Source organism: Homo sapiens, chromosome 7 (assembly GCF_000001405.40).
Source record: "Homo sapiens chromosome 7, GRCh38.p14 Primary Assembly".
NCBI classification, from domain to species: domain Eukaryota; kingdom Metazoa; phylum Chordata; class Mammalia; order Primates; family Hominidae; genus Homo; species Homo sapiens.
The window spans coordinates 38,304,441-38,331,973 of record NC_000007.14 but is presented as its reverse complement, the minus strand read 5'-3'; the positions used below and the strand labels follow the sequence as shown (position 1 = coordinate 38,331,973).

The following is a 27,533-nucleotide window of genomic DNA, read 5'->3' as shown; positions in this document are numbered from 1 at the left end:
AGGGAGACCAACTGGAGCCCCCTGCCTTTCTCATTCCCAGCTGTGATGTCAGCAAAAACTGAACTCTCTGAGCTAGGCCAAAACAACAACCAAGAGGGACATTGTTCTACGTTTTATGAATATCTTAAACATGTGTCCAAACTTTTTTTTTTTTTTACCGAAGTGAAAATCTGTGTATGCACTACTGAATTTTCACAATTATTTTACTATACTTGTTTTATCACCTGTATCTCCATCTATGAGTCCAGGTCCACTGCAGACATCAGTCAGCTTTCTGAGGATACGGTTGCTAAGTAAAATATGCAATACTCAGGAAATTTGGACGTTCAGATAAATAACAAGTTTTTAGCTGAAGTATGTCCCAAATATTGCATGACATGGCACCCTGTATTACTTTAAAAAAAAAACTCACACTTCTACTTGAATGAACGGAAATCCTCTAATAAAGAGATCACACACACAGGCATACACTCCCAACACACACACACACACAAACTCACAGAGGATCACACAAACACCCGCCCCACCCCCACACACCCATTTACCTTAGAGGAGAGTCCAAGACCCACCAACATACCTGACCCTCGATCCTGTTAATAAAGCAGGTTCAGGCCCTCTCAGAGTGACCCTGGGTGTTGCCTCTAGTGTCCTTGCAGATGTGAAAAGGATGGTGGTTTAGGGCCCTAATCAGAAGCTTCCCGGCAGAATGAGGGTCTTGCAGTTGCCTTACTTGCTGAAACTCTGAAGTGCTGGGTGTGAACCTGCTGTGAGACTACCCCCTTTAAGGTCTGAGCCTGTTAACTCCAGGGTCAGCTTCCCCCACATCTGCACTCCCTCTGCTGCAGGCCTGAGCTCTCTATGCCCGGAGCTCTCTTCCTTAGAGGGCCTGCTCTCAGCCGCCACAGAGGGCGCTGGAGAACTGGCCTGAGCAGAGAGGCAGAAACTCCTCTGCAGGTCCTCCTAGGCACCACCCAGAGTCCCCTAAGACAGATCCTCAATCACTTATCTCTGCCTGTGAATCAGGAAGACCAGCTCCTCCTACTGTCTTCTGTGTTAGGGATCACTTCCTTGTTGAGTGGGACCTGAGTTTTGAGAGGGTCTTCTGCTCCTCTTCGTCTGGTCCCTTACTTCCAAGACCCCAGAGAGGAAGGCATGCTGTTGGCTCTAGCTCTGCTTCTAGCTTTCCTGCCTCCTGGTAAGAGTGCTGCCTACAGAGAGGCTCACAGGTTTTATTTTGTTTCGTTTTGTTTATTTTCTTCTTTTGCAAGGGATACCATACTAAGAAATGCCTCATTACATTTTGTGTTGTTCCCATTGCAGCCAGTCAGAAATCTTCCAACTTGGAAGGGAGAACAAAGTCAGTCACCAGGCCAACTGGGTCATCAGCTGTAATCACTTGTGATCTTCCTGTAGAAAATGCCGTCTACACCCACTGGTACCTACACCAGGAGGGGAAGGCCCCACAGCGTCTTCTGTACTATGACTCCTACAACTCCAGGGTTGTGTTGGAATCAGGAATCAGTCGAGAAAAGTATCATACTTATGCAAGCACAGGGAAGAGCCTTAAATTTATACTGGAAAATCTAATTGAACGTGACTCTGGGGTCTATTACTGTGCCACCTGGGATAGGCACAGTGATTCAGACCTGTGCTACACCACACTGAAAATCTGCCTTGTGACTACTCCTGGTACACAAGATAGACCAGCCTCATCTCATTTCCTGCCCATGAATTCACTGTATTCTGTACAAAGAGAAACACAGCTTAACTCCTCATCTCTCCCCTAATATCACACTCCCCTGGCGGCAGCTGCACCCTGTTCTCCACCCCACCCTCATGAGTTACCTAAAGACCAAACTACAATCTCCCAGCTGTGTCAGCCAAGCAGCCTTGCTGACAGCAAAGTTCTTTCAGCTCTTCTATGGGCTGGTGGAGACCCATTCCACCTGCTTCCTAAGACAGACAAATTCCTCAAGGACTGGTCTGTAAAGGGATTCATTTAGGAGACTATATGGGAAGACTAGCTTCACTCAAGCATTTATCCAATTATTGTCTATAGGCTAAAATAGTGCTTATTCATTGCTCAGGATAAATGTTGGAATAACAACTTTGCACTTCAGTAAGACATCTAACGTGTATCAGATCTGCTATCTTTTGGACACACTGACATTTTTTTCTACATAACAAATCATGGTACTATTGGTCTGCAGGAGAATGGGTAAAAAAGTGATAGTCATAGGTACGCCAACTTGTGGGTCATATCATAGGTTTTCAACCATTTCAAGCATCCCTGCCCTAATGCAAGTATCTGAAGGATCTGACCCTTGCCCTGCAGCAGAATTCATTCCATGTCCCCTCTGGATATTAGACTGATAATTTGGATCAGGTCTCAGCATGGGCCATTGAGGAACACTACAGCCCTGCTGAGAGATAAAAAGGATTATCCACTCAAGGAGTTCACACCTCCGGGCCGACATGGAGAACGTGCCTAGAAGCAGACTTGGAGGGTGCTCAGTGGTGGGTTGTGGAATGTAAGCCTGAAGAAGCAGAGTTTAATTCTACGGGGGTGCTTTCATAATTTAGTACCCTGACAGGGCTCCTGGTGTTGGTCCTTAGACACTCCTGGGATGGCTCCCTGGAAACATGGAGGAAACCTTGGTCGCATGACATGATACGGAGATGTTGGAGCTGCCTGGACACAGTTACAGAGGGAGGCATTAAAAGGCTTCGAGAGGTAGGCATGCTAGAGTGGACTTTCCCACTAAACCTGAGAACTCACTGGATAACTGTATTCCCTGCGAGAGCCCAGAGAACCCTCTGAATTAGGAAAGAAGGGCATGTTCTGAAATGGGAGGAATCAGCGTTCTTGAGAGTCTTGGTGGAAGCTGTGCCCTGTGGGGCAGGGTTGACTATAGGAGACGCTGTTAAGGAATTAGCTCCCAAGGGTCAATGGAGATGATGTAATTTCAAAATAAGAGTCCAAATGGGCAGAATTAGTGTGAGAAGACATAAAGCCAGAAAAGCAGCCAAGGAGCCCTGCTCTACAGAAATCTGGGGTGACAGCTAATAAACCACAGTGTTCCTAGGGGTAAGGAAATTGGGCTACCACAGTGGTATTCCACATATGTATTCCATATATACATATATATCTCTCCCATATATATATATATATATATGAGATATATATATGAGATATATATGGGAGAGATATATATGATATATATGAGATATATATGAGATATATATGATATATATATGAGATATATATGAGATATAGATATGTATATCTCTCTCATATATACATAATACATATCTCTCTCATATATATATATATATATATATATATATATATATGTAATTGGAACGTATTAAGAGAAGATGAATGAAAGAATGATGTCAGCTCCTCCTGTTCTCCAACTCAGAGTCCTTTGAATGAAGGGGAAGGCAGATTGCCTTGAGGGAGAACCTTGTAATGTTCTAGCAAGTATATATGGCAGTGATTCTCCGAGCCTTTTCCCCCAAAAGATCGAAGACTAGTTACCTGAGAAATTTGTACACCTAGGGAAGGGGAATAACTAGGTCTTTCAAGGCTGTTGGAGACGGCATCTGAGCTAACTTTGATACCAAGAAATGCATACTGTCAACGTGGTCCCCCATTAGAGTGAGGACACATAGAAGCTCCCCCTCTAATGCTAGTTTTAAAGGCCCAAGTCTATCTAAAAGGGCAGTCCCATAGGTGGATGGACTGACTGTGGTCTCTACCCTGTGTCTGAGGATATCAGAGTGGATATGATGAATGGACATAAAATAAGGAGGCTGCCCCCCTACCCCCGGATAGTCCAGGCAGCCTTCATTCCTTTATTTCATTTGGAACCCATATGGCTTATTCTCTTTCACTGACTGGAGCTCACAGTCTGGCTATTGTAACCTGTCTTAAATCTTTTTCTCTTTAAAATATCTTGACTTTGAGGCAGGTCTTAGAAAATGACTCTTCCTGTCTCAAAATGCAGTCCTTCATTCTGATTGATGAATTGGAAGCACATGGCTGGTGTAAAGAATAAGAAACTAATTATAAGCCAGGAAACAGCAGGAGAAGAAAGCAGAGAAGCAACGCTTACCCTGAAGAATTAATTTCCGTTTAGAAAATATCACAGCTGATGTGTCAAAGGCCCCGGTATGCAGGAATGAGATTAAACAAATGTGGTCATGAGGAAGAGGTTTCTGAATAATGATAGAGAAGCTTGAGTCTACAAGAAATCCAGAGTCCAGAATACTGCAGGGGAGCAGTGCTGGGTTCATGTTTATCTGGTCTCTTGTCTATTGGATCCTCTTTCTTCCAGAACCCTAAACCTTGAATCAGCCTTATAGTCCTGGCTCCTAGAAGAGTGTTTCTCAAAGTGTACTCCACGGACCACCTGGATAAGAAGCACGTGAGGCTTTTAATTAAAAAAAAAAAAAAAAGTACAGGTTCTGGGAAGCATCCAACACAATAAGACAGAATCTTGGAATGAAGGGTGAAAATGTGCATTTTAAAATAACCTCCAGAGCTGATTCTTATTCAAACTGACTTTTAAAAACTGCTGCACTAGTGGCAAGAGATCGAGGGGCTGTCCTGAGCCTGACACAGAAAGGTGTTCTAGAAAGCTGCTCACAGGCTCCTTCGCAGCCCACCAAATCCGCCTCACTCTTATCTCCCCCAGCCCCTCAAAGCAGCTGCTTTGACAGTTTCTCACATTTTTGCATGATAATCCCACAACTGCAATTCCTTCTGGCTTCCTGTGACCTCACGCAAGAAAAAGTTGTGTACTAAATGAATCTGCTTTAACTTGCTCTCCTTCCTCGGGGATCACACCTTTTTAAGAAAGCCTGTCCCTTACCTTGAAGCACAAACATATTCTCATTTTTATTCTCCCAATACCTTGAAGGTTTTCTTCTGCACATGTATTTGTTTGATCTGCCTTTTGTGCGTGGGGTGGGAGTTAGGTAGGAATCTTAAAGTGGAGAGCCAGTTTCTTCCCAAATTACTGACCTAACCCATCCTTAACCCCCAGTTCAAGGCCACCTTTGTGATAGTGAAGCTTCCACATGCTCACTCAGCCCCTTCTGCTCTCTCTTCTTCTCTACTGTGCATGTCGGCTTGTACTTTTGCCAGTTTCTCTAAAGACACAACCAGAGGTGGGGTGGCTGTGTGTGCACAACTTCAACTTTACATGTGGGGCTGAGTCCCTATGTTGTATATCCTTGTGCAAAAGCACAATATGTTAATTGCTATAGCTTTTAAAAAAATAATTAATAGTTTTTCATAATCAAATTTTCTTGCTTTTTTGTTTTTTCAAAAAAGCATACTTTTATTGAAGAATAAACCCCTTATATATGTACACTTATTTATAACTATGAACCATGAACTAGGATAGAAATGCATTGTGTATATTACAAAACATAACAAAAATAATAGGGGTAGGGAGGTGCAGATGTTGGTCAAAGGATATAAACCTGCAGTTCTATGATGAATAAGTTCTGGACATCTGGAATACAGCATGGTGACTATACTTAGTAATACTATATTGTACACTTGAAGCTTACTGAAAGAGTAAATCTCAAGTGTTCTCACCACACAAACCCAAAGGTAACTATGTTCTCACCACACAAACCCAAAGGGAACTATGTATTAATTAGCTTGATTGTGGTAACCATTTCACAATGTATACATTTGCCAAAACATTATGTTGTATACCTGGAATATATAATTTTATTTATCAATTATACCTCAATAAAGCTGAAAGAGGGGATTACTAATTCCCACAAAATACAGATTTAACAAAAACTTTTATTCAACAAACAGTGCTATGAAGTTGTAAATTGGAAACAAAAGAAATAAAATTTCATCCACAGTCTTCTCATCAAAACCCTTCAGTGGCATTCCTCTTTCTGGTGTCCCAGTCTTGTCAATTTTGCTAATAACTGTCATCCTGGGAATACCCAATTTATCCTACATGACAAAATGACAAAGTCTGATTAGATGAGTTCTCAGATTCTAGCATGGCCAGAAGAGCACTGTCCTGGGTCGGATAAATCACGTGGAAGATGCAGGGGATGCGTGACTTTAAAGGTCCAGCCCTTAGTCCCTGGATCTTCATGCAGGGGCCGCCTCAGCCTGGATCTGCTCTTCCTCACCACTGCAGCCCTATCCCACGCTGGCTGAGGTCTGCTTCCACCTGGGCAGTGACTGGATGACATGGGATGAGAGGACACACCTCTCCCTCGCCCAGCATCGCATTTCTCTTTCCCTGGAGATCTGGGATCTTGGTCAGAATCCTTCAAACGCCACCCAGGGCTTGAGAGGGCAAGCCCTCCTACACCTTGACTGCGTTTTGCCCAAGATTTCCCCCATATTATTATTTTAAACGTGTCTAATTTAGACAAATAGAACCTGTAAGTGCTACATTGAGAAGAGCACAGGGCCACCGAATTGGGAAGACAAGTAGAGGAAAGGAAAGCAAATGTCACCAGACAGAATGTATGGCTGCAGGTTTACAGCAGATTCTATTAAAATCTATGGTTGGGCTGGGTGTGGTGGTTCACCCCTCTAATCTCAGCACTTTGGGAGGCCAAGGCAGAGAGATCACCTGAGGTCAGGAGTTCAAGACCAGCCAGGCCAACAGAGCAAAACCCTGTCTCTACCAAAAATACAAAAGTTAGCAAGGCGTGGTGGCACGCGCCTGTAATCCCAGCTACTGGGGAGGCTGAGGCAGGAGAATCTCTGGAACCCAGGAGGTGGAAGTTGCAATGAGCAGAGATCACACCACTGCACTCCAGCCTGAGCTAAAGAGTGAGACCCTGTCTCAAAAAACAAACAAACAAAAAATCTATGATTGGCTGATTGGCTATTGCTAACAACTTTTGAGTCTTTAATGATCAGTAATTGAATTAAAACGGTTAAAACAACAATTGAGAGAAACATAGTTTTGAACACTGACAACACAAAATAACTTATCCATGTAACCAAAAGCTACCTATTCCCCCGAAACTATTGAAATAAACAAACAAAAAAATTAGAAAGCGGAAACTTTACAAAAATTATTCTCACCAATGAGGTTGTCCAAATGTCACCAAATTTATTATAGAATAGTAATAACCAAATTTGTGCATGAATCGGTGATGACATAAGTATCTTGTAAGCATTACTGAAGTTTTTTTTTTTTCTATTAAATTTACCTTCAAGATATGCCTTCAGGATGAGGCTTTCCACTGCACTTCATTATGCAATGCCATGTTGACTTGGTATATTACCTCAGATGTGACTCTAATATGGTTTGATTTGTTATGACGAGACTAAAATGAAACATATCACTTTTTTCATGTGCATATTGCACCTTATAAGCACAAGGTGCAATTAAATAACCAATTTGAATATTGAAAACATATGTAGTTGTTATAATTTTTTTCTCCTCTAAAATAATATTTTCTTATTTCTAAAAAAATCTAGAAAATAGAGAAAGATTGAAGACAAATAATTTGCCCATTTCCATTGCTCACTGTCTGTATTTTGCACTTTCTACCTGTCATTTCCCTGCGTTGACCTTTTCTGACCATAGCTGTCACTTTCTTTCCCATTACCCTAGCCCACCCCTGGGCTAAAGGTCTATAGAGTGTATAAATGATAGCCCCAGAATATCCCTCTGTCAAAACGTTCTGCTAGCTTTGTATTTGACCACCTTCTCACCAACTCAGCACAACCCTAAGCCCTGCATGTGAGAATGCTGAAAACTGGAATCATGACTTTCAGTTTTTGCCATCGAAGAGAAGCTCAGGAACTGGGTCTGGTCGTGGGAGCCCAGGGACTCACAGCTTCCCTTCCCAAGCCAGACCCCTTTTCTTGCCATGCCCACAACCTTCCCCTCATGGCCATCTCTTTGACTACTCAGGAGGTCCTGGGTGTCATTAGCAAAGCTGAAAATGAACCTTCATTTCAGTAGGAACTCAAGGCTGGGTCTATTTCTCCAAGCCTTTGGCAGGTGTGTCCTTCGCTGGCCCTTCCCAATGCACAGTCTTCACCATTTCCAAGGACGTGCCACTGGCAGAGGATGAGCTGGTCCTGCCTCCAGGCCCTCTCTGTCTGCTGGCCTGACTTAGCCTTCTTCCTTTGGAGACACACACACACTCACACACACGCACGCACACACCTGGTTCTTGAAAACTGCATTAGTCCCTATAATTTCTACTTTGTGTGAACCCCAGAGATCATTTACTGGAACCCATCCAGTTTCCAGGTGAAACAACAACACCCCACATTTCTTGAGCATGGTCTATGCAGCTGGGATTGTGCTGCGTGCTCTGCTCACATTCTCCTGTTTACTGTCCATGTGGCCCTATGACACCTCTCTTTACAGATGAGGAAAAAGAGGTGAAACAACTTGCCCAAGACTACACAGCTATCATGTTATTTTAGGGCACTGAAAATCTCCTTCTACTAGGACCTCTGGGTGACACGCTCCGATGCTGGCTCAGACGGTTGGCATGGGTTTTTTTAGGGATTGCTGTTTTGTGTTTGTCCCTTCCTCTGGAGCAAGCAGCACACTCATTGTTCTCTGAGTATAAGATGGTTACATGAAGCAGAAATTTGTCACCAGCCTGGCCTGGCTTCTCTCCCAACTCTGATTCTCTTTAGGTATTACAGCCTTGGAAAAGCTACTTAAAATAACAGCCTTACTCCTTCATTTCTAAACTGAAGATAACATTTGTCCTATAGAGTTATTTTAGGATTTAATAAAGCAATGGCCCTAAACCAATTAGTGCAGTGCAAGAGTTTTGCTGGTGTCCAACCAATGATTGCTATTATTGCTAATTATACCAGCAACACTCTTTAAGCCTTTTTCAGCACTCTAGCCATTGGTCATCCCTCCCTTCACCTTGTGGTCAGATTTCTGTCTCTCCTCTGGAACTTCTTTCTTCCTCCCCCATTTCTCTCATCAGTTACCTCCTTGCACCACCAGGGAAATAGCAGTTCAGGCCCTAAGCTGGTCGCTACCATAACTCAGGAAAGTGTGGCTCAGGTCCATAGTTTGAAACAGGTCACTCTGGGCTCCTCTCCCCCAGTCAGGATCAGAGATATGGTGGGCTGCCCTGCCTTCCTTTGGGTCATCCTGTTTCCAGGTCAGTCTCCTACCTAAGGACCTGTGTAGAGGTGGCGAGGCTTTGGGACATCCCTACCTCACTGCTCTCTCCCTGACAGCTGGCTGGTGGCTCATCAGGCCGGAGCAGCTGGCCCATGTCCTGGGGCACTAGGGAAGCTTGGTCATCCTGCAGTGCGTGGTCCGCACCAGGATCAGCTACACCCACTGGTACCAGCAGAAGGGCCAGGTCCCTGAGGCACTCCACCAGCTGGCCATGTCCAAGTTGGATGTGCAGTGGGATTCCATCCTGAAAGCAGATAAAATCATAGCCAAGGATGGCAGCAGCTCTATCTTGGCAGTACTGAAGTTGGAGACAGGCATCGAGGGCATGAACTACTGCACAACCTGGGCCCTGCGCAGCCTTGCATGCTGCCCCAGCCCTACACAAAAGGACTCTTCCTCCCGATCCAACAAGGCCTTGGGCATTTTCACTTACTCTTGGTCCCTTGGGTTTCCCTGTGGCATAGAAGAAAAAAGTCTTATCCCCTGTCCCTCACCTCCCCATCTATCCTGGAGGTCCCTTCCCCGGTCCCACTACAGATGAGGCTTTCAGCTTGTGCAGACTCAGTGATCTATATCTCATCGAAAGGGGTCTGTTTAAAGATGCTCCAGTTCAGTGTCTCTGAAGCCTTTGCAGGATGACCTGTGCTCCTGAATGCAGGTGCCACTAGCCACCTGTGGCTATTGAGCATGGGAAACATACCAAGTGCAATAGTCCAAGCTGAGATGGGCTGTGTGTCTAAAATCATATTTTGAAGCTTTAGTGTTAAAAGTGAGATAACTCTTATAATGATCAAAAGTTGAAATGATTAGGTATCTTGGACTAAAGCCAATAGCATTAAAACTAATTTTACCTGTTTCTCTTTACTTTTTTTAATGCAGCAACTAAAAAAATTAAAGTGTGTGACTCACATTGGTGACTCATTTATTTCTGTTGGACAGTGCTGTTAGAGACTGATCATTTAAGAATCTGACCATCTCCCCTGAAGAATGCACAAATAAAATATTTTGGAAGAGATTTCAAGGGTGGAGGACTTGCTGAGATTTACCACAAAATGGTTGAAAAGCTGAGACTAGAAGCCTACTCCTGTTTCCAGCTTCCAAGCTCTTGGCCCTGGGACTGTTATCATTTTGCAATAGAGTCAGCAATTAGAAGCATGGGAAACATGACTGCCCACTTCTCAGTACTTTCACCCGTGGGCGGGCTGCATAGGAACTGATGTGAGTAGACAGTCGCCATGGCAGGGTGATGCAGTCCTCCCTGGATGAGACATTTACCTTCCACTTCTCCTTCAACAGCACCCCAGTGTGGAACACGTGTGTATCCCAAGCTTCTCTAGACTTTTGTTCTCCTATCTGACAAATGAGGGGGTTTAGCCAAATGTCTGCTAAGTTATATGACTATGATTTTTGTATTAAAGCAAAGCCATACACATAAGATCACTATGCCCACTACCTTCATATAAAGCAGTCTTTTTTAACATAGAATAAATGAAAGAAAAAAAAAGAAAGCCTGTGTTACTGATCCTCCAGCACCAAACAGGAAACCCCTCTGCTGCTCTATGTGCAGAAAAAAAAGAAATTCTTTGAAGTCTAAGCTGAATTTAAATGCCTTTTCAAGAGAATGCTTAATACACTGTTGATGAGAATGTAAATTAGTACAACTTCTCTAGAAAACAGTATGGAAATTTCTCAAAGAACTAAAAATAGAACTACCATTCAATCCAGCAATCCCATAACTGGATATCCACCCAAAGAAAAATAAATCATTATATTAGACTGCATTCATATATTTATCACAGCACTGTTCATAATAGCAAAAATATGGAATCAACCTAAATGTCCATTAGTGGATGGCTGGATAAAGAAAATGTGGTATATATACACAGTGGAGTACTATTCATCCATAATAAATGTGGTATATACACACAATGGAATACTGCTTATCCATACAAAAGAATGAAGTCCTGTTTTTTGCAGAAACATGGAGGAAGCTGGAGGCCATTATCTAAAGTGAAACAACTCAGAAATAGAAAGACAAATACTGGATGTTCTCACTTATAAGTGGGAGCTAAATAATGTGTACAAGTGGACATAGGGTGTGGAACCAGACATTGGAGGCTTGTAAGGGTGGTGGGGGGCAGAAGGAATACAGATGGAAATTAAGTAATTTCACATCACAATGAGTATTATCCAGGTGTGGGGTATACTAAAAGCCAAGACTTTACCACTGTGCATTATATGTGTGTAACAAAATTGCACTTGTACTCCTTAAATTTATACAAATAAAAAACAAAAGGAGAATCACTTGGACCCAGGAGGCAGGGGTTGTGGTGAGCCGAGATCGTGCCATTGCACTCCAGTCTGAGCAACAAGAAATAAAAAAAAAAAACGCTACGCCTTGCTTCTGAAACAGCCCAGCGTCTCTAACCTCTACTGAAGGCTCAGTTCACGGCTAAGGCCTTCCAACTTGTGTGAGAAGGACAGAGGCCATACAGGAGGAAACTTTCATTCTGTTTTGGAGTTGTTCCTTCATTTCATTTTTCTAATTGTGCTGATAAAACCAAATGGGCACAGAGAGGAGATGCCTCCTCTTCTGCCTGCCCCCTCTCTCAGTGCTTTACTCCAAACAAGAGTAAATTTGGTGAAATGGTGACTATCAGGGTGTGGCCAAATGGAGGCGCAAGCTCCCCAGTCACCTCCTTATGGAACAACATCTTTCATTTCCTCAAGAGGAGACTCTGCCACTGCAGTGAACCTTCACCACCACAAACCTCCACCTTCACTCCTCACCAACACCTGCTGTACTCTTCATGAATGCTGTGAGCTTGAGCGAGTTCTTAAATTTCCTAGCCATCAGTTTCCTCATCTCCAAAATAAAGAAAACAGCAATGTCCAAAATCAATCTCCCTCTGAATTATACTACCTGGTTTCAGCCTCAACCTCCAGGGTGATAGACCAGCTTAGAGACCAAGATTTTATCTTTCCTAAGTGATCTCACCTTCAGAGGCATCATCACCAGACTTTTCAAGTTTTGTTTCTTAGAAATGGTCCCAAGTTCTTTCCCTCTCATCGTCTCTTGCTTTAGGGAGCCTCCCAGCTAGTCTGTCTTAGCAAGACAAGGGCATAGCTGGTGCATTGCTGCTGGTGAGCAGGGGCAAGTTCACAGAAGGCAGCATGGGAGAGTATAACAGAAATCACCATCAGTTTCCAAGGGCTTGCTCTGTGTCAGGCATTGCCCTAAACAGTCTACCTGGGCAAACATTTATTCTTTGCAACATCCAGTAAGGTAGGCTGTGATTTTATTCTCCTTTGGTAGATAAGAAAACAGAGGCAGAGAGAACTACTCAAAGAGCTCAGGCTTTGCAGCCCGATAGAATTAATCTTAAATCTGTCACCAACAAGCTGTTAAACCTTGACCCATTACCTGACCTGCTTTGAGTAGGGCTTTGTGAAGATTATACTAAATTTATGGTATTAAACATCATAATGGCTACAAACTGCTTGACACATTAAGGCATTCACTAAGTGTCCATTGCTTGGTAACTCTTTAAAAACTGTATTTTAAATGGTGATGTTTTGTTAACATCAGAACGACAAAAAAATACTACAATGGCCATCCATTCCCTCACTCCACCCTTTCATCTATTCAACAAACACCTGGGAATAGAGAGATAAACAGCACATGATCTTACTCCCCTGGGAACTCTTAACTGTCGTTTAGAATGAGAGAGAAATGGGTAAACAGGCCAAGACTTGGGTAGGAGGTGCTAGGAGAGAGGAAGGCACTAGGTGGCGTGAAGAGAAAGCAATTTGAAGCATCTCCATCCTGGACTTACTGGGTGAGGTAAGCTTCCTGGGGAAGACTGCCTGGGGCTGAGCCCAGAAGGATAAACAGGAATTAGCCAGGGAATGTGGAGTAGAATGCAGTCCAAACACAAAAAAATTCAAGTCAATCCATAGAAGTGGGTCGTGGAATTCCAGGCAGAAAGTGACTAAATGAAGATGGAAGGACAGGGAGGGGGTGGCCACATCACAGAGAACCTCTTATCCTAAGAACTCTGGACTTCATCTTCAGAGGCAAGGTAGAGAGAGCAAGGACTTTAGAGCAGGAAAAGGACCAGGTCAGTCTAGTGGCCATGGGGAAGGTGGGTGGGAGGGGCCGAGATGGGATGTATGGAGGTGCGTGAGGTGGAGGCAGTGGTGAGCCAGGAAATGTTTAGGACGTAGAATCCTCAGGAATTAGAGTGCGGTGAATTAGAGGGGAGAATTGAGGCTGATGCTCAAGCTCCTGGCTTGGGCAATGTGGGTAGTTATGTCATACAGGGAACTCGGAAGAAGATATGGTTTGGGGGAAGGGAATGAGTTCACTCTGGCTATGAGCAGACTTTGTTTGAGATCCCATGTCAGACGTACTTGAAAATGTCCAAGAGTTAGCTGGATATGGGTACAGACAGCTTTCGATTTAACTGAGGTCCGACTTAAGATTTTTTTTTACTTTATGATGGTGCAAAAGTGACACGCATTTGGTAGAAAACATAATTTGACCTTTGCTGTTTCCCCAGGACAGTGATATAAGGTTATGATACTCTCTTGCGATGCTGGGCAGTGGCAGTGAGCTGCAGCTCCCAGTGGGTAAATTAAGCATGGAAATCTGGAACACAGCAGCTTTTAAGGGATGCACTGGGGAGAGCAGTTTGTAAAAATACCTTGGGACGGATTAAATGTCTTGGCTTAGAGAAAGAACAACAGACAATAGGAAACTGTCATTGAGGAGAAGCCGGGATTCAGGAGATGTACATTATTCAGGTAGCTGAGGGAGGGGACAGGAACCTGAATCTTCAACAGAAGCAAACAAACTGGGATGGAGGGCCCAGCCTCATGAAGGTGACCAGAAGGACCCGGTGCTGCAGGCTGTGTGGGTAGCTGAGCAGAGCTAAGCGGCTTGACGGACCAACATCTCTCCAGCTGGTTGAAGACAAGCTCTCAGAAGACAATGCTGCATGTCACAGCCCCAGCAACCAACAACACCAGCCTGACAACTTGCTGGGGTGGCCGCCTTGTGGTCTGAGGTGGCCGTCTAAACTATGTGGTCTGATCTCAGGCTGCAGACCTTGCAGGACTGTCTTCACACAGACTGGAAGTGCTAACAGGTGGTGAGGACACCGCTTTACAACGATGCAGGGGGCCCCATGTCACCCTCACCCATGGGAAGTTTGACTTGGTGGACTCAGCCAAGCCACAGAGGTCTAACGCTTCTCTGCGGTGATTTCAGGCTGCCCTGGCAGAAAGCACAGTGCCTGCAGACATGCTGTCACTGCTCCACACATCAACGCTGGCAGTCCTTGGGGCTCGTAAGTAGTTTTGCTCCCCCAATCACTTTGGACTGATATTCTCTATTGTTATATATTTTTATAAATTCCAAATTCTTGGTTTATTTACTCCCTCCCATTTTTTTCCCCAGTGTGTGTATATGGTGCAGGTCACCTAGAGCAACCTCAAATTTCCAGTACTAAAACGCTGTCAAAAACAGCCCGCCTGGAATGTGTGGTGTCTGGAATAACAATTTCTGCAACATCTGTATATTGGTATCGAGAGAGACCTGGTGAAGTCATACAGTTCCTGGTGTCCATTTCATATGACGGCACTGTCAGAAAGGAATCCGGCATTCCGTCAGGCAAATTTGAGGTGGATAGGATACCTGAAACGTCTACATCCACTCTCACCATTCACAATGTAGAGAAACAGGACATAGCTACCTACTACTGTGCCTTGTGGGAGGTGCACAGCAGCAGACAGTTTGAGCCATCCCATTCAATAAATGTTTATTGAGTCTTTGTTTATAATTACGAATTGGGAAGCCACAGTTACCACCAGTGTGCTTGTAAACAGTTTTTAAGATAAACATTCATGTGGTGACTCTACTTGGAGTTGCCAAATTCCACATATTTTCTCAAAGCAGAAGCTTTGCATAAGTCTATACAAGTGACCAGCCTCCTCTTTTTCAGGGTTGTACTCTCTCACCAACAGCTTTTCTAGGTCACCCATGCTTATTTTTCTGGTTCAACCTCTCCTACTCATTATATATTTTTTTTCTGGTATAATATATACACATTTTTAGTGTGATTCTTTTGTACTAGTCAATATGCATTACATAAGTTTTCTCTGACCTTCCTATTTCTCTCGATTAAAAAATGGATATGACATTAAATGGTATTCATTTTTCTGGAGGTTAACATGTAACAAACGCAGCATGATCTAACCACGAGCAGGGCAGACTGCAATGACAAATCTATCACATGCATGCCTTGAGTGGTGATGTTTGATTTTGTACAAAATCCGTAAACACTTCCACTAATCGAATCTAAGTCAAAGTCCACTTTGGATTGGGGTTTGAGAAAAAATTCATTTGCTGCAACCTCTGCCTCCCGGGTTCAAGCGATTCTTCTACCTCAGTTTCCCAAGTAGCTGAGACTACAGGTGCGTGCCACCACGCCCATCTAATTTTTTTGTATTTTTAATAGAGACGGGGTTTCGCCATGTTGGCCAGGATGGTCTCTATCTCCTCCTGACCTCGTGATCTGCCCACCTCAGCCTTCCAAAGTGCTGGGATTACAGGCGTGAGCCACCGTGCCTGGTCATCCAACCATGAGCTTTTGATAGACTACTCTGAGCCAGGCATTATGCACAGCAGAAATTACAAGGCCCATACGCTCTGCAAAGGCCCGAGGTTGCTTCTGTTGAACCACATTCTGCTACTGGGCTGCCATTCACCACTAAAATGGCAGTCCTCAACTTGAATATAACTCATGATTGTAAGTCTCTTATGAATTTTCGTTACTTCTAGTTCAACTCAGGCTTTGCAATTTATTATTGTTGATGGTGTTGTTTTAATTTATGTTTTTGCCATGAAACCCTTTCTTGAAATGTGATCTTACAAATATAAAATAGAGAAAAGTAGATTTCCACTGGGAAAGAGTTCAGAGATGAATGATCCTTAGTCTCATCTTCTCAAATTTCTCTGATACTTTGATTTTTCAACAGCTCAATAATTATCTGAGTATACATATAATGTACAAAGTGGTCAAGACCTGGGCCTGTCATGTCAGAAGGACATAGGTCCAAATGGGGCTCTACTTACCACGGATAAGCTGTGTGGCAAGGCCTTGAGCTTCTCTAGCCCCATTTCCTCACCTGTGAGGCAATGGTCCTGTGGTTATCATATGGGTGGCTGTGAGAACTCCTGACATGATGCATTTCAAGGATTTGGCCTAGTGCTTGGCATATTGTGACAGCCCAGCGTTATCTGACAAGAGACAAAACTAGATACAACAAAAAAATAACAGCAAGCACACATATATAGTCATGTGTCCCTTAACGACAGGAAAACATCCTGAGAAATGCATCCTTTGGCAATGTCCTTGTTGTGCAGATATTGTAGAGTGCCCTTAACACACACCTACATGGTACAGCCTACTACATACCTAGGATATATGGTATAGCTTATTGCTCCTAAGCTGCAAACCTGCATAGCATGTTGCTGTACTGAATGCTATATGCGATTGTAACACTGATAAATATTTGTGTATTTAAACATAGCATAGAAAAGGTACAGTAAAAATAGAATATAAAAAAAATGCTACACATGTGTAGGGCAGTTTCATTATAATTTGTCCATCTTTGACTGAAACATTATTATTCAGCGTATGACTATATATACAAGAAAACATACACACACACACACACACACATACACACATCTGGTTTTTTTTTTTTTGAGATGGAGTTTCACTCTTGTTGCCCAAGCTGGAGTGCAATGGCGCGATCTCGGCTCACTGCAACCTCTGCCTCCCAGGTTCAAGCGATTCTCTTGCCTCAGCCTCCAAGTAGCTGGGATTACAGGCACGCACTACCATGCCCGGCTAATTTTTTGTATCTTTAGTAGAGATGGGGTTTCGCCATGTTGGCCAGGCTGGTCTCGAACTCCTGAGCTCGTGATCACCCCACCTCGGCCTCCCAAAGTGCTGGGATTACAGGCATGAGCCAACACGCCTGGCCCATATACACATCTTTATATATCCAGGGCTTAGTGCTACGTCTATCATAGTGTGGCTATTACATTTTATAGAGAGAATAGCTAAGTATGAAGAAACTCTTACAAGAGGTTATCCCAGATTAATTTAATTCTAAGCTTTTGGTCATGGTTCCCTAAGACCTTTGACTCACACACAGCTGGACAGGACAGTGGCCTTGTGCATAGTGCAGATGACCATTATAGGGGAAAAACAAGTCGAAATTCATAGTCCTTTACTCCTCCTGCCCTTCTCCTTTTGCTTAAGGTGAGCTTCACCAGGAACATTTTCGCCACACCAAAGGAAAACTAGCCAGAGGCAAACCAGCTCTAAGTTAATATTTGCCAATTAAATGGTTTAAGTTTTGGATTCACAGAAACACTGACAGCATCTTATTAGAATATACTGTACTGCATATAGTAGGGGCTCAATGAATATCTGTTGAATTGAGATTGATACTTTCATTATTATTGATGGGTTCATTTTACCTAATGGGTCAACGCGTTGTATGGATGGATGCCCTGAATATTCTGATGATTTGGGTTCGACTTCTTTTCTTTTCTACCTGAGGTGGGTGAGCTACAATGACTCTGAATAATAGAATCAACATTATATTATCTAGTTAATATAAAATCTGAATAAAATCTAAGGAAATCTTGGAAAGCAATATTTTCATAAACCATATCATCTGTTGCCGAACTCCCCACACATACAAGTACTATGGAAAAAGTAATGTCTACTGCCCAGGAGTCATCTTATAGAAACCACAATTCTAGAAGTTGCTGTACCCACCTGGAAATCCATGCTGACTGTTTTGTCTCGGGTGCTTTTTGCTTTCAGTCCTGTGAAGGGGTTCACAAGAGGCAGACTGGGGTAGACAAAAAAAGGGCACAGACTTTGAAATGCTTATCTCCAGACATTGCGCTCATGAGTATTTTTATCTGTGTCATTTCTGTACTTTTGAAATGGTCTAATAGAAAACACATTACTTTTTAATTTTATTTTAAAATTGACTTAAAAAAAGAATTCCTGTTTTATAATATTAAACATATCCCTGCACATTATTGAGCACCTAGAGACAATATGTAAAATGTGTTGGTTAGAAGGACCTGGAAGGGGCTCTGCTTGACTACTTTTTCTTTCCTCTTCTCTAACAACGTTTGCTTCTTGTAAAAAGCAAAATCTTACCTTTTCTCCTGTTTCCTACTGATCACTGTGCTGAGCTAAAGAAAATGTTAGTGATTTGAATGCTCAAGGCAGCTTATTGGGCTTGTATGTCTTCCTGGAACACTAGGATTTTTCAAGCCTGTAGATCAAAGGTCTTGGGAAAAAAGAAACAACTTTTTTCAGTGAGCTAACTGAAATAGAAGAGAATGGCGACTCCTACCCACACCTCTTGGATCCTGGACATCAGCTCTGGCTGTGGGGCAAATGGCACTGCATATTGGCCAATGTGGGGAGGATGCAGCCAACTTAAGGCCCCTTTTCAGGGAGGGAACGCTGACCCCACGCTCCTATTTCCCAGCTGCCTGCTGATGTTTCCATTTTCTACCCCCAAACAACACCTGCAGGATAGGGAAGACCATCCATGCAGCCCAGGGCGGTCAGACTTTTAAGGCAGAGTTATGTGGAAAATGGACTTGGATGAGCCAAGGAGGAAATCCTGCAGATGGCCCAATAAGTGGATTATGTTTGACTTCAGATAAGTAGGACAAGCTAGGGAGCCAGAAGGTTTTATTAGTTTTGTTTCACTTTCCACAAAACCACCAAGGTCCCATCTCCAACAGAACAGGATGTGTGACTGTTCCTTGAGTAAAAAAACAGGAAACTGGACAAATCTTGAGAGATCATCATTAATTAGTACTTCTTTAGTTGATTTCTTAATATGGAGGAGCATGTAGATTATTAATAATGCTTTTGTTCTTGAGTTAAGTGAAGGAGTCTTAGGTATTTGTTGACTCATTAAATAAATCACCAACATGTAGTAGACTCAAATAAGAAACATAAAAGTGATACACATTTAGATAAATGATTATAGTGCTTTATGCTTGTAGTGCTTCATGAATCGATAGTATGATTAATCCAATTGTGCTCGTAGTGTTCTTTACAACAACTAAGTTTAAAATAGAGAAACAATCTCAACTCTCATTAGATGATTGAGGATAGAGAAATGCCTGTCACGTTCATGTCAAGTAGAATTTATCCCCTCACCCCTGTTGCTATAATTGATGTGTCTCTTCTGTAGATCCCTAATTTAATTTCTTGTCACTTTTAAGTCAACTTTTAACTAGCAAATTAGCAAAGTGCTAAGGGATTCAGAGAGATTGAATCACGTGCTATACTTTACTGTAGTCCCGTTCTCTTTATATTTTACTTATAAACTAAAGTTACAGAGTAATTATCAAAACTCCATATTTGTGTTCTGAAATTGGCAGAATTTGAATTTGCAGTCCATAGGTCAGCAGATTTCTCTGACTTTCCTTATTTTCTTTGCTTAGCCACAGAAAAACAGAAAAATCAGTGAGTTTACATGCACAGAATTAAATGTACAGACTATTCTCTGAAAGAGCTCAGTTCTATGTGAAAATGAATAATGTAATAAATATTCTTATGAGTGTAGTAATAGTAGCTATTGTTTATTGAGTACTTCTTATGTGCATGGCACTTTATACTGCATGCTTTATGTCATTTGAGCCTAACAAAATACTATCATTATTATTATCTCATTTTTATAGATATTTTCTTTTTTTAATAAACTCTTTTATTTGCACGTTTGTGTCTTGGGTTATTCGTGGGGTGAGAAACCTCCACACTTCCAATCCCAGCCATCTGGTACAATCTGGTGTTGTGGTCCAGCTGTCGGCAAAGGGTAGAGGTGGGTGCAGGGCTGGCCCCCCAGTCTGCACCAACCTCTTCAGAGCAGGGAGCTCAGACCATGGTTGTACTTGCACTGCTTCAGGGCCTCGCTGAAGCCTTCACACAGGGACAGGTCACTCTGCGTGGTCGAACAGTCCAGGAACTGCCGGATCTCGTAGGCGCAGGACCCCATCTGCAGGGGCTGGGGGGCAGCGCGTGTGGGGGTCTGCTGGGCAGCAGGCTGGACGGGCTCCGAGCTCCCCCATCTGAAGGCTCAGGTCAGGGCGCTGCCCATGACGTGTCCCACAGCCGAGCCCACGGCTACCCCTGCGGCCATGGACGCCATCTAAGCCATGAGGCTCGGCTGGCCGGAAGGGGCGGAGATGGGGCGGCTGCCGGAGGCGGTGGCTGTGTGGGGGCAGGTGGGCAGAGGGCGCGGCGGGAGGGGGCTGGGTGGTCGGACCGCCGCGCTGCGGCTTCCCAGAGACATGGTGGCGGCGGAGGGACCCGGGCGATCTTAAATGACAGCGATGGCGGCAGCGGTTCTGTCGCGGGGACAAATGCCCTTTATAGATATTTTCTAAGTACAGATTTGAGACTTTGATAAATTAAGATACTTGATAGTAAGCAGCGAGGCTGGGATCTGAATCCAGGTCTGTCTGACTACAAAATCTATTGCCTTGATCTCCTACAGTGATGAGAAAAACAAAACCAAACACGAACTTTTAAATAGAGACATTTCAGGGGGAAATAAAAAAATTTATAATTCGTTTTATGAGTTTTTTTTTTTTCATTTGCGGCCTTAAGCTCCTTTCCCCAGGGTCACATGAAGTTAGTTAAATTGATGCTAACGGTGTTTACTTACAGACAATCTGCAGAGAATTCTCTACAGAGAATTTTCTTATGCAATCAAGTTTTTCTGACTTCTGGGTTCTAAGATTTTTTTCTTTTTTTAACAAGAAAAAAAAGCGTAACCAAAACTGTGTTTATTGAGCAACAGAAAAGCAGCGAGATGGAACACAGAGATATTCCCCCTGATTATCACCTTTCCGCTGCACTCCCTTACCCTCAGTCCGCTGGGGAGCACAGAAATGTTATCCAAAGGTGGATGGGAAAGGGTGGAAAGGCTGAGACCCAACTGCAGCCTGGCCTGAGATGGCCACATCATGTTCTGCTTCCTGCCTGGCTGCCCAGGGAGGGCCTGGATGGGCAGAGGGCCAAGTCAGTGTCAGGCTGGGAACTTTACATGCTTTTCTCACTTAAATATTGTCATCTCCTTTCTCAGAGGAGGAACCAGAGATTCAGAGAGACTCTGTAGCCTCCAAGATCACGCAGGCATCACTAGTAGCAGAGAAGGGATGTAGAGCAAGTGTGACGGTCCATAAGACTTACTCTCTTCCCACCACACCACACTCACCCAGCAAGAACTGGAATAAATGACAAGGGAGGGAAGAGGGGCTCAGACTTCTCTGTATATTCACAAGGATGTGGAATGTGTTCCTGTAAGCGTACCCAAGTTGGGAATTTGGTCCTTTAAAGAAAAAGGTTGAAGCAGGAAGACTTCCAGTTTGCTGGATGAAACATAATGCAGCAATCAAACAGCCCGACTCTTTTGAGTGAATATCAATAGGAATACCACTATACCATTCACTTGTTCTTCAAAGGAAAAAATGAAACTAATGAGTCCTTGATTCCATGACATAGATAAATGTTCTGAGAAGGAAGAAGTTAATGGATCACTGGGAAGGCTTCATAGAGCCAGAAGATTCAAGTAAAAGTCTTGCCAAACAAGAAAAGGAGAAAGTTCATTTTTGTCACAGTCTGGTTGCAACAGTAAAAACTAGCTTTTGTCATCATCACATTTTCTAATATCGAAAGGACATATTTTAGGAAAAAGCATCCCAAATTTATAGGTATGTTGTTATTTATAGAACTTCATTTTTTTAAATCAAACTCTTCAGTGAATTAATTTTTACCACCTCCTCAGGTACAGGATAAATGGGACATTTGCAGCCAGTTTCCTCCTTGCCCATGTTTGCTGCGAGGTGGGGCGTGGATGTGGGGAACCTCTCTGGGGGAAGAGGATGGGTGCAGCAGCCCGACGACTGGTCGTGAGGCCCCACCACAAAAAGCCTCCACTTAAAGGGCAATGCTGAGAGCCCCACCACACCTCATGATGGGGAATTCCTCTGTCTAGAGATGTTATTTATTGTCATTCAAGTCAAGGAACTAAAATCCTAAGAAAAAGAGCATACCCCAAAGCCAAACTAGGCCTCCTAACAGTAGCTCTGTGCTCATCCTGCTTCAACAAGGAGGCAGAGTAGAGAGGAAGGAGGTGAAAGATATGGAACCCACTGAGCTCCCACTTTATTCCAGGCGTATTATGCACCTATCTAAGCCAATGCTGGTAGATAGGGATTTCAATTTCATTTTCATAGTTGAGGGCACTGGGTGTCAGATAGCAACAAGTCAAGCTAACAGCAGGCTGAACTGGAATTAAAAGCAGGACTGAATGATTGCATGCTCGCCTGTATAGCACACTACGTGGATTTGCTTGGCATTGAAGAAATAGGTTTTAGTTCCAGCTCTACCATTTACTAGCTGAGAGGCCTTACATTACCCCCTCTTCCCCATGGGGAATCCCTTCCTGCCTCAAAATATTGTTTGGATTAAATAAGCCAATGTTTGTAAAAGAGTTTTGGAAATTGTAGACACCATAACAAAGTAAAGAGTTATAGTTTTTTTTAAACACATTTTCATTCATTCTAATATGATTTCTCATATGAATTATCTCCTAAGGATAGTCAATATTTATGGAGCTCCCACTATAGGGAAGGCATCCTTCTTGATGAAATAAGGGGCTTTAACAATCCCTACAACTTATGACTTTGACTTAACAAAAACGAAATCTAGCATGTGTTATATGAAAGTAGCAGGTAACAAGTGGTCTAGCAAAGCTGCAGTGCTATATGCTGAGTGATAGAGGTATTTGTTGTAACATCCACTCCAATTCCTCAAGAAAATAGATGGTGGCAAAGAAGATTAAGTGATATTGCTCATTAAATGATGAGAATTTTTACATACTGGATATTCAGTGGGAGTTTCATTTTGTCCCAATCTCCGCTGACACTCTAAGCTCAGGAGAATGGTAGTAATACAAAAGAAGGGGACAAAACCAGAGATTCACAGTGGAGGGCAAGCCCCTCTCCAGCAGACATTGGTAATGTCTGAGACATTTTTTACTGTCACAAACAGAGTGAGAATGCTACTGGTATCTAGTGAGTAGAGGCCAGAAGTGTTACTAAACATCCTACAATGCACAGGACAGCCCCACAACAAAGAATTATCCAGCCCAAAATGTCAATAATGCAGAGGCTGAGAAACCCTGGGGTAGTTGGCCATATTTCTCAAAGACTTGCTAAGAGGTAGACAAAACTGATGACTCCAACCTTTGGCTCATGAGCTATATCCAGGCTAATTACAGTAAGAGCTTTCCTGGGGACTCTAATTTTGCAAAGACTTTCTCTGAAAAGCACTGTTGGGATTTCCCTGGAAACCCCCTCCTCTCCCAGTGAGGAGGTGATGAGGTAGCTCTTCTACTTCCACACCAAATAGGACTCTCAGGTCCTACATCCACCATGGGTCCAGAGCAGAGCCCTGTGTGTGGGTCATGGAAGTGTTGGGTCTGTGCCGTGAGCGTTTGGTGGCCAGATAAACCAGTGAGGACTCTCACCTGGAAAAGTGGACAGGTGGCTTCAGGTCATAGCCCACGTGGTAACTTGGACCAACTCTCCCCTGAAATCAGTTAGATAATCATGATGAAATAATAATAATGAAAAAGAATCTTTCTAAAAGTTTCTAAGAGTTAGCAAGATAACAAGGTGAATAACTTTTACCCTGGCAAATGGACTGATTATCATGGTGTCATACAGCTATGGGTAAAGTTCCCATGTGATCCTGACCAATCAGCAACCTCAGAAATGACTGATCTGGGCGCAGGGCCTAAGGACACCCATTTTCTCTGTGAACACTCTTTGAGGTTCCCCTTCCTCATCCTGGTGCAGCTTCTCCTGCTCCAGGTTCCCTATTTCCTCAGCCTTGTCTCAGGCACTCAGCCTGAGCAGACGGGACGTCACAGCTACAGATATGCACCTGTTCTTCACTCTGGGAATGTGAACTTGTTCTCCTACTTCTCAGATTGGCTGAGGGATTTTTTTGAAAATGAATGTCTCATTTCTTGATAACTTTGGTTTCATTGAAAATGCTATTTTGTTTCTAATTGAAATTGGGTAAAAACAATTGAAGCAAGTAAAAATCTTTATTTCATTAGCAGAAATGAAGCATATATTTTCACTGTAGGGTATTTAGATAGAACTTTTCATACACACTCAGGTACTGACCAACACCAAATCAGGCTTTTGAGGATTTGATATTTACTTGGAAAAAAACCCTGTTCCAGGTCAATTACAGGCAAAGAGCTGCAACCATATATAAAATTCTGTATATAAATTCTCTATATAAAATTCTGTCTACTTCCCTTTAGTTCTTAATATAAAATTCCTAGAAAAATAGAAAGACATGATGACCCAATATAATGGCCCCCAGGAAACTAGCATGACATTGGAGCTGAGGTAATGGGCACTTGCCCCATTATCATGTCTGCGACCACATCCTTCCCAATGTGGAAGAGCCTCGTCCAGCCCTCTGCCCCAGCTAGGCCTCAGCCTCAGCTTGCAGCACTTCCTGTGTTCCTCAGATGATGCCTCTGTGATCACAGGAAACCAGAAAGGGAGTCTGATGACTATCAATTTCACCCCACAAATGCCAGTACCTATACCCCCAAGTGTCTGATTTGACATCATTTCCTATTGACTTAGGTTCCTATTTAGAGACTATGTTTGTTGAAACTGCATGATTATTTCAGAGAGAAAGCAAGGTCCATTATATCATTTCTTAGAAACTTCTAGTCATGGTGAATTGCTCAGGGTGAAGATGCCAGCAAGGAACAAGATGGAATTCATATCCACTCAGTTCCCACTGGCTGCCAGAAAATGGGATAGATGTTCTACATATTCAGAATTTCAGGTGATTGTCATAAGAACCTGGTAAATAAACTTATTCATGAAAGAAATAACTGATGTTTAGACAGGGGCAGTTATCTGTCCAAACAAATAGTTCATGCTCTTTCAAGTGCACTATTGGGCCACTTTGAATACCCTTTGGGTTTATTAACTTAATGGAAATAGGGCCAGGGGCAGTGGCTCAGGCTTATAATTCCAGCGCTTTCAGAGGCTGAGGCAGGCAGATCATTTGTCCTCAGGAATTCAAGACCAGCCTGGGCAACATGGTGAAACTCCATCTCTACAAAAACACAAAAATTAACCAGGTGTGGTGGAGCTTGCCTGTAGTCTCAGCTATTCCGGAAGCTGAGGTGGGAGGATCACTTGAGCCCAGGAGGCAGAGGTTGCAGAGAGACAAGATTGCAGCACTGCACTCCAGCCTGGGATACAGAGCAAGACTCTGTCTCAAAAACAAACAAACAAAACTTTATAGGAATGAACTGTGGCATTTGTGGGTAATTATGCGCTGGCCCGGACTTACTGCCTAGTCCTGCAGAGCTAGGTCAAGACAGAATGGGCAGTGACTCAAGACAGAATGGGCAGTGACTCAAGAAGCCATGGCTAAAGGGTCATGCTGAACACACATTTGGAAGAGTTCCCACCCCCCACCCCACCCCCACCCTGCTCCCCACCGGCATTCTGCCTTAGGACCCTTCTTCTCACTGGAGGGGAAAAGGCTAAGAAAACAGAAAACCCTCTCTGTTCTTGTGAACTTGCTTTAGCAGATAATATCATGGGTGGGATACCTGGAGAGGGATCAAAACCTCACAGCCCAGACTTAAGTAAATGATCAAAATGTGTAATGAGGATCATGTTTTGGAAATGTGGCCAACATATTTTTATTCTCTAAAATAAATCATGTCACCTTTTGTCCTTTCTTTATTGTAGCTAATCCATGATATTTACTACCCATAGAAAGAGATGGTAGTTGCCCAGAACAAACTCACTTTTTTTTTTTTTTTTTTTTTTTTTTGAGATGAAGTGTTACTCTGTCGCCCAGGCTAGAGTGCAGCGCACAGGCGCCCGCCACCACGCCTGGCTAATTTTTTTTTGTTTGTTTGTTTTTAGCAGAGACGGGGTTTCACCGTGTTAGCCAGGATGGTCTCAATCTCCTGACCTCGTGATACGCCCGCCTCAGCCTCCTAAAGTGCTGGGATTACAGGCGTAAGCCACCACAGCCTGCCACAAACTCACTTTTTGAATTAATTGTGAGATGTTGGGCTTGAAAATCAGGTTCAATTTTTTTTTAAAGAGTTTTCTATAGTTGTGATTCTCTCATTCATAGGTCAAAAGGCCACACTGGCAAAGTAACAACACAGAATTTTATTACAGCTGCTAGATATGAAGACTCAGCATATGATATCGGTGACGTTAATACCTTCCCAGGGAGAAGCGCTGTTCCTTCTGGCTGGGAAGTGCGAGCCGGTGGGGGGAGAGAGAGGAGTAGAGCATTATGTGGAGGTACTTCCCGGTTCCCTTGCGTCTGAGGGTCTTATGCCAGAGGGGATAGAAAGCCCAACAGAAACTCAAGATAGAAGAAGGAGAATCTGCGAGTGTCTGTCTCCTGTCAAGCTTCCCTAATACAGCCCTGGTAGAACTTCATCAACAGTGGAAGGCATTTGCAAAGGTGAGCCCAAACCAGCACCCCTTTCCACACAGGCTGTCCATGTAGAAGGCCCAGATGCTTCTCAGGGTCTCTGAGAGGATACAAAGCTACTGAGGGGGCCAGAGGGCACAGCACCTGGGATTTGGATGAGAAGCTGCAGGAAGGGAACTTTGCACCCCAAGGGCATGGTGTGGAGTCAATAGTGGCAAGTTCAGTCTGGTTTTTTACATCAGCCGGTTCAGAGGAAGAGTGAAATCCCCAAGATCAGCAGGGCAAAATGCTGGAAGTTGTCGAGGATGCAGAGAGTAGCAGGAAGACACCTCTGAGAACTCACTCACACACCCTGCCCCTGTGTAGAGATGTCATCCTGGGGATGAGAAGGAGGAAGACAGAGAAACGCAGAAAAGCCTAAGCAGGCACCACAAAGAGACCGAGCCCGTCTGAAAGAGGCTGCTCTAACCTGGTGGAAACTATTTTAAGTTGGTAAGTTTAGTGCCTCCCCACAATATCAGAACGAGCAAGAGACGACAGGTATAGGTTGTGTACATTTCCCCTCTGCGTTGAATGATAGCGTGTGCGTGTTCCACCACTGTGCCCTGCTCAAAGTTAGCTGGGTGGCTGTGCCCTGCTCAAAGTCACTTGGGTGAGGGGCGCCCGTGGGAGCCAAAAATCCCATCTTACACCCACCCCCTGCACACTCTGGAGT

The 27,533-nt window shown here is 43.6% G+C and overlaps 2 pseudogenes, 2 gene segments (V, D, J or C) and 1 further gene, besides 7 other annotated features; 4 read left to right on the top strand and 1 right to left on the bottom strand.

Moving 5' to 3' along the window:
* TRG (T cell receptor gamma locus) overlaps window positions 1-27,533 on the top strand; it is a 128,032-nt gene that overhangs the window by 36,082 nt on the left and 64,417 nt on the right.
* Window positions 1,153-1,195: a sequence feature (TRGV8 leader sequence).
* On the top strand, window positions 1,153-1,631 carry TRGV8 (T cell receptor gamma variable 8). The segment is given in 2 exon segments: window positions 1,153-1,195; window positions 1,321-1,631. Coding segments are annotated over 2 exon segments (354 nt in total), but the record flags the coding sequence as incomplete, so codon positions are not given.
* Window positions 1,321-1,331: a sequence feature (TRGV8 leader sequence).
* Window positions 9,111-9,153: a sequence feature (TRGVA leader sequence).
* On the top strand, window positions 9,111-9,528 carry TRGVA (T cell receptor gamma variable A (pseudogene); annotated as a pseudogene). Its single transcript is given in 2 exon segments — window positions 9,111-9,153; window positions 9,233-9,528. Coding segments are annotated over 2 exon segments (339 nt in total).
* Window positions 9,233-9,243: a sequence feature (TRGVA leader sequence).
* Window positions 12,869-13,048: a silencer, noted in NCBI's record as "silent region_18110". NCBI's record gives its function as "represses an Ori minimal core promoter by ATAC-STARR-seq in GM12878 lymphoblastoid cells {active_cell/tissue: GM12878}" and the evidence as "EXISTENCE:reporter gene assay evidence [ECO:0000049][PMID:35858748]".
* Window positions 14,482-14,627: a sequence feature (TRGV9 leader sequence).
* Window positions 14,482-14,957, top strand: TRGV9 (T cell receptor gamma variable 9). The segment is given in 2 exon segments: window positions 14,482-14,527; window positions 14,638-14,957. Coding segments are annotated over 2 exon segments (366 nt in total), but the record flags the coding sequence as incomplete, so codon positions are not given.
* Window positions 14,638-14,651: a sequence feature (TRGV9 leader sequence).
* LOC103689914 (coiled-coil-helix-coiled-coil-helix domain containing 10 pseudogene) lies at window positions 19,996-20,666 on the bottom strand (annotated as a pseudogene).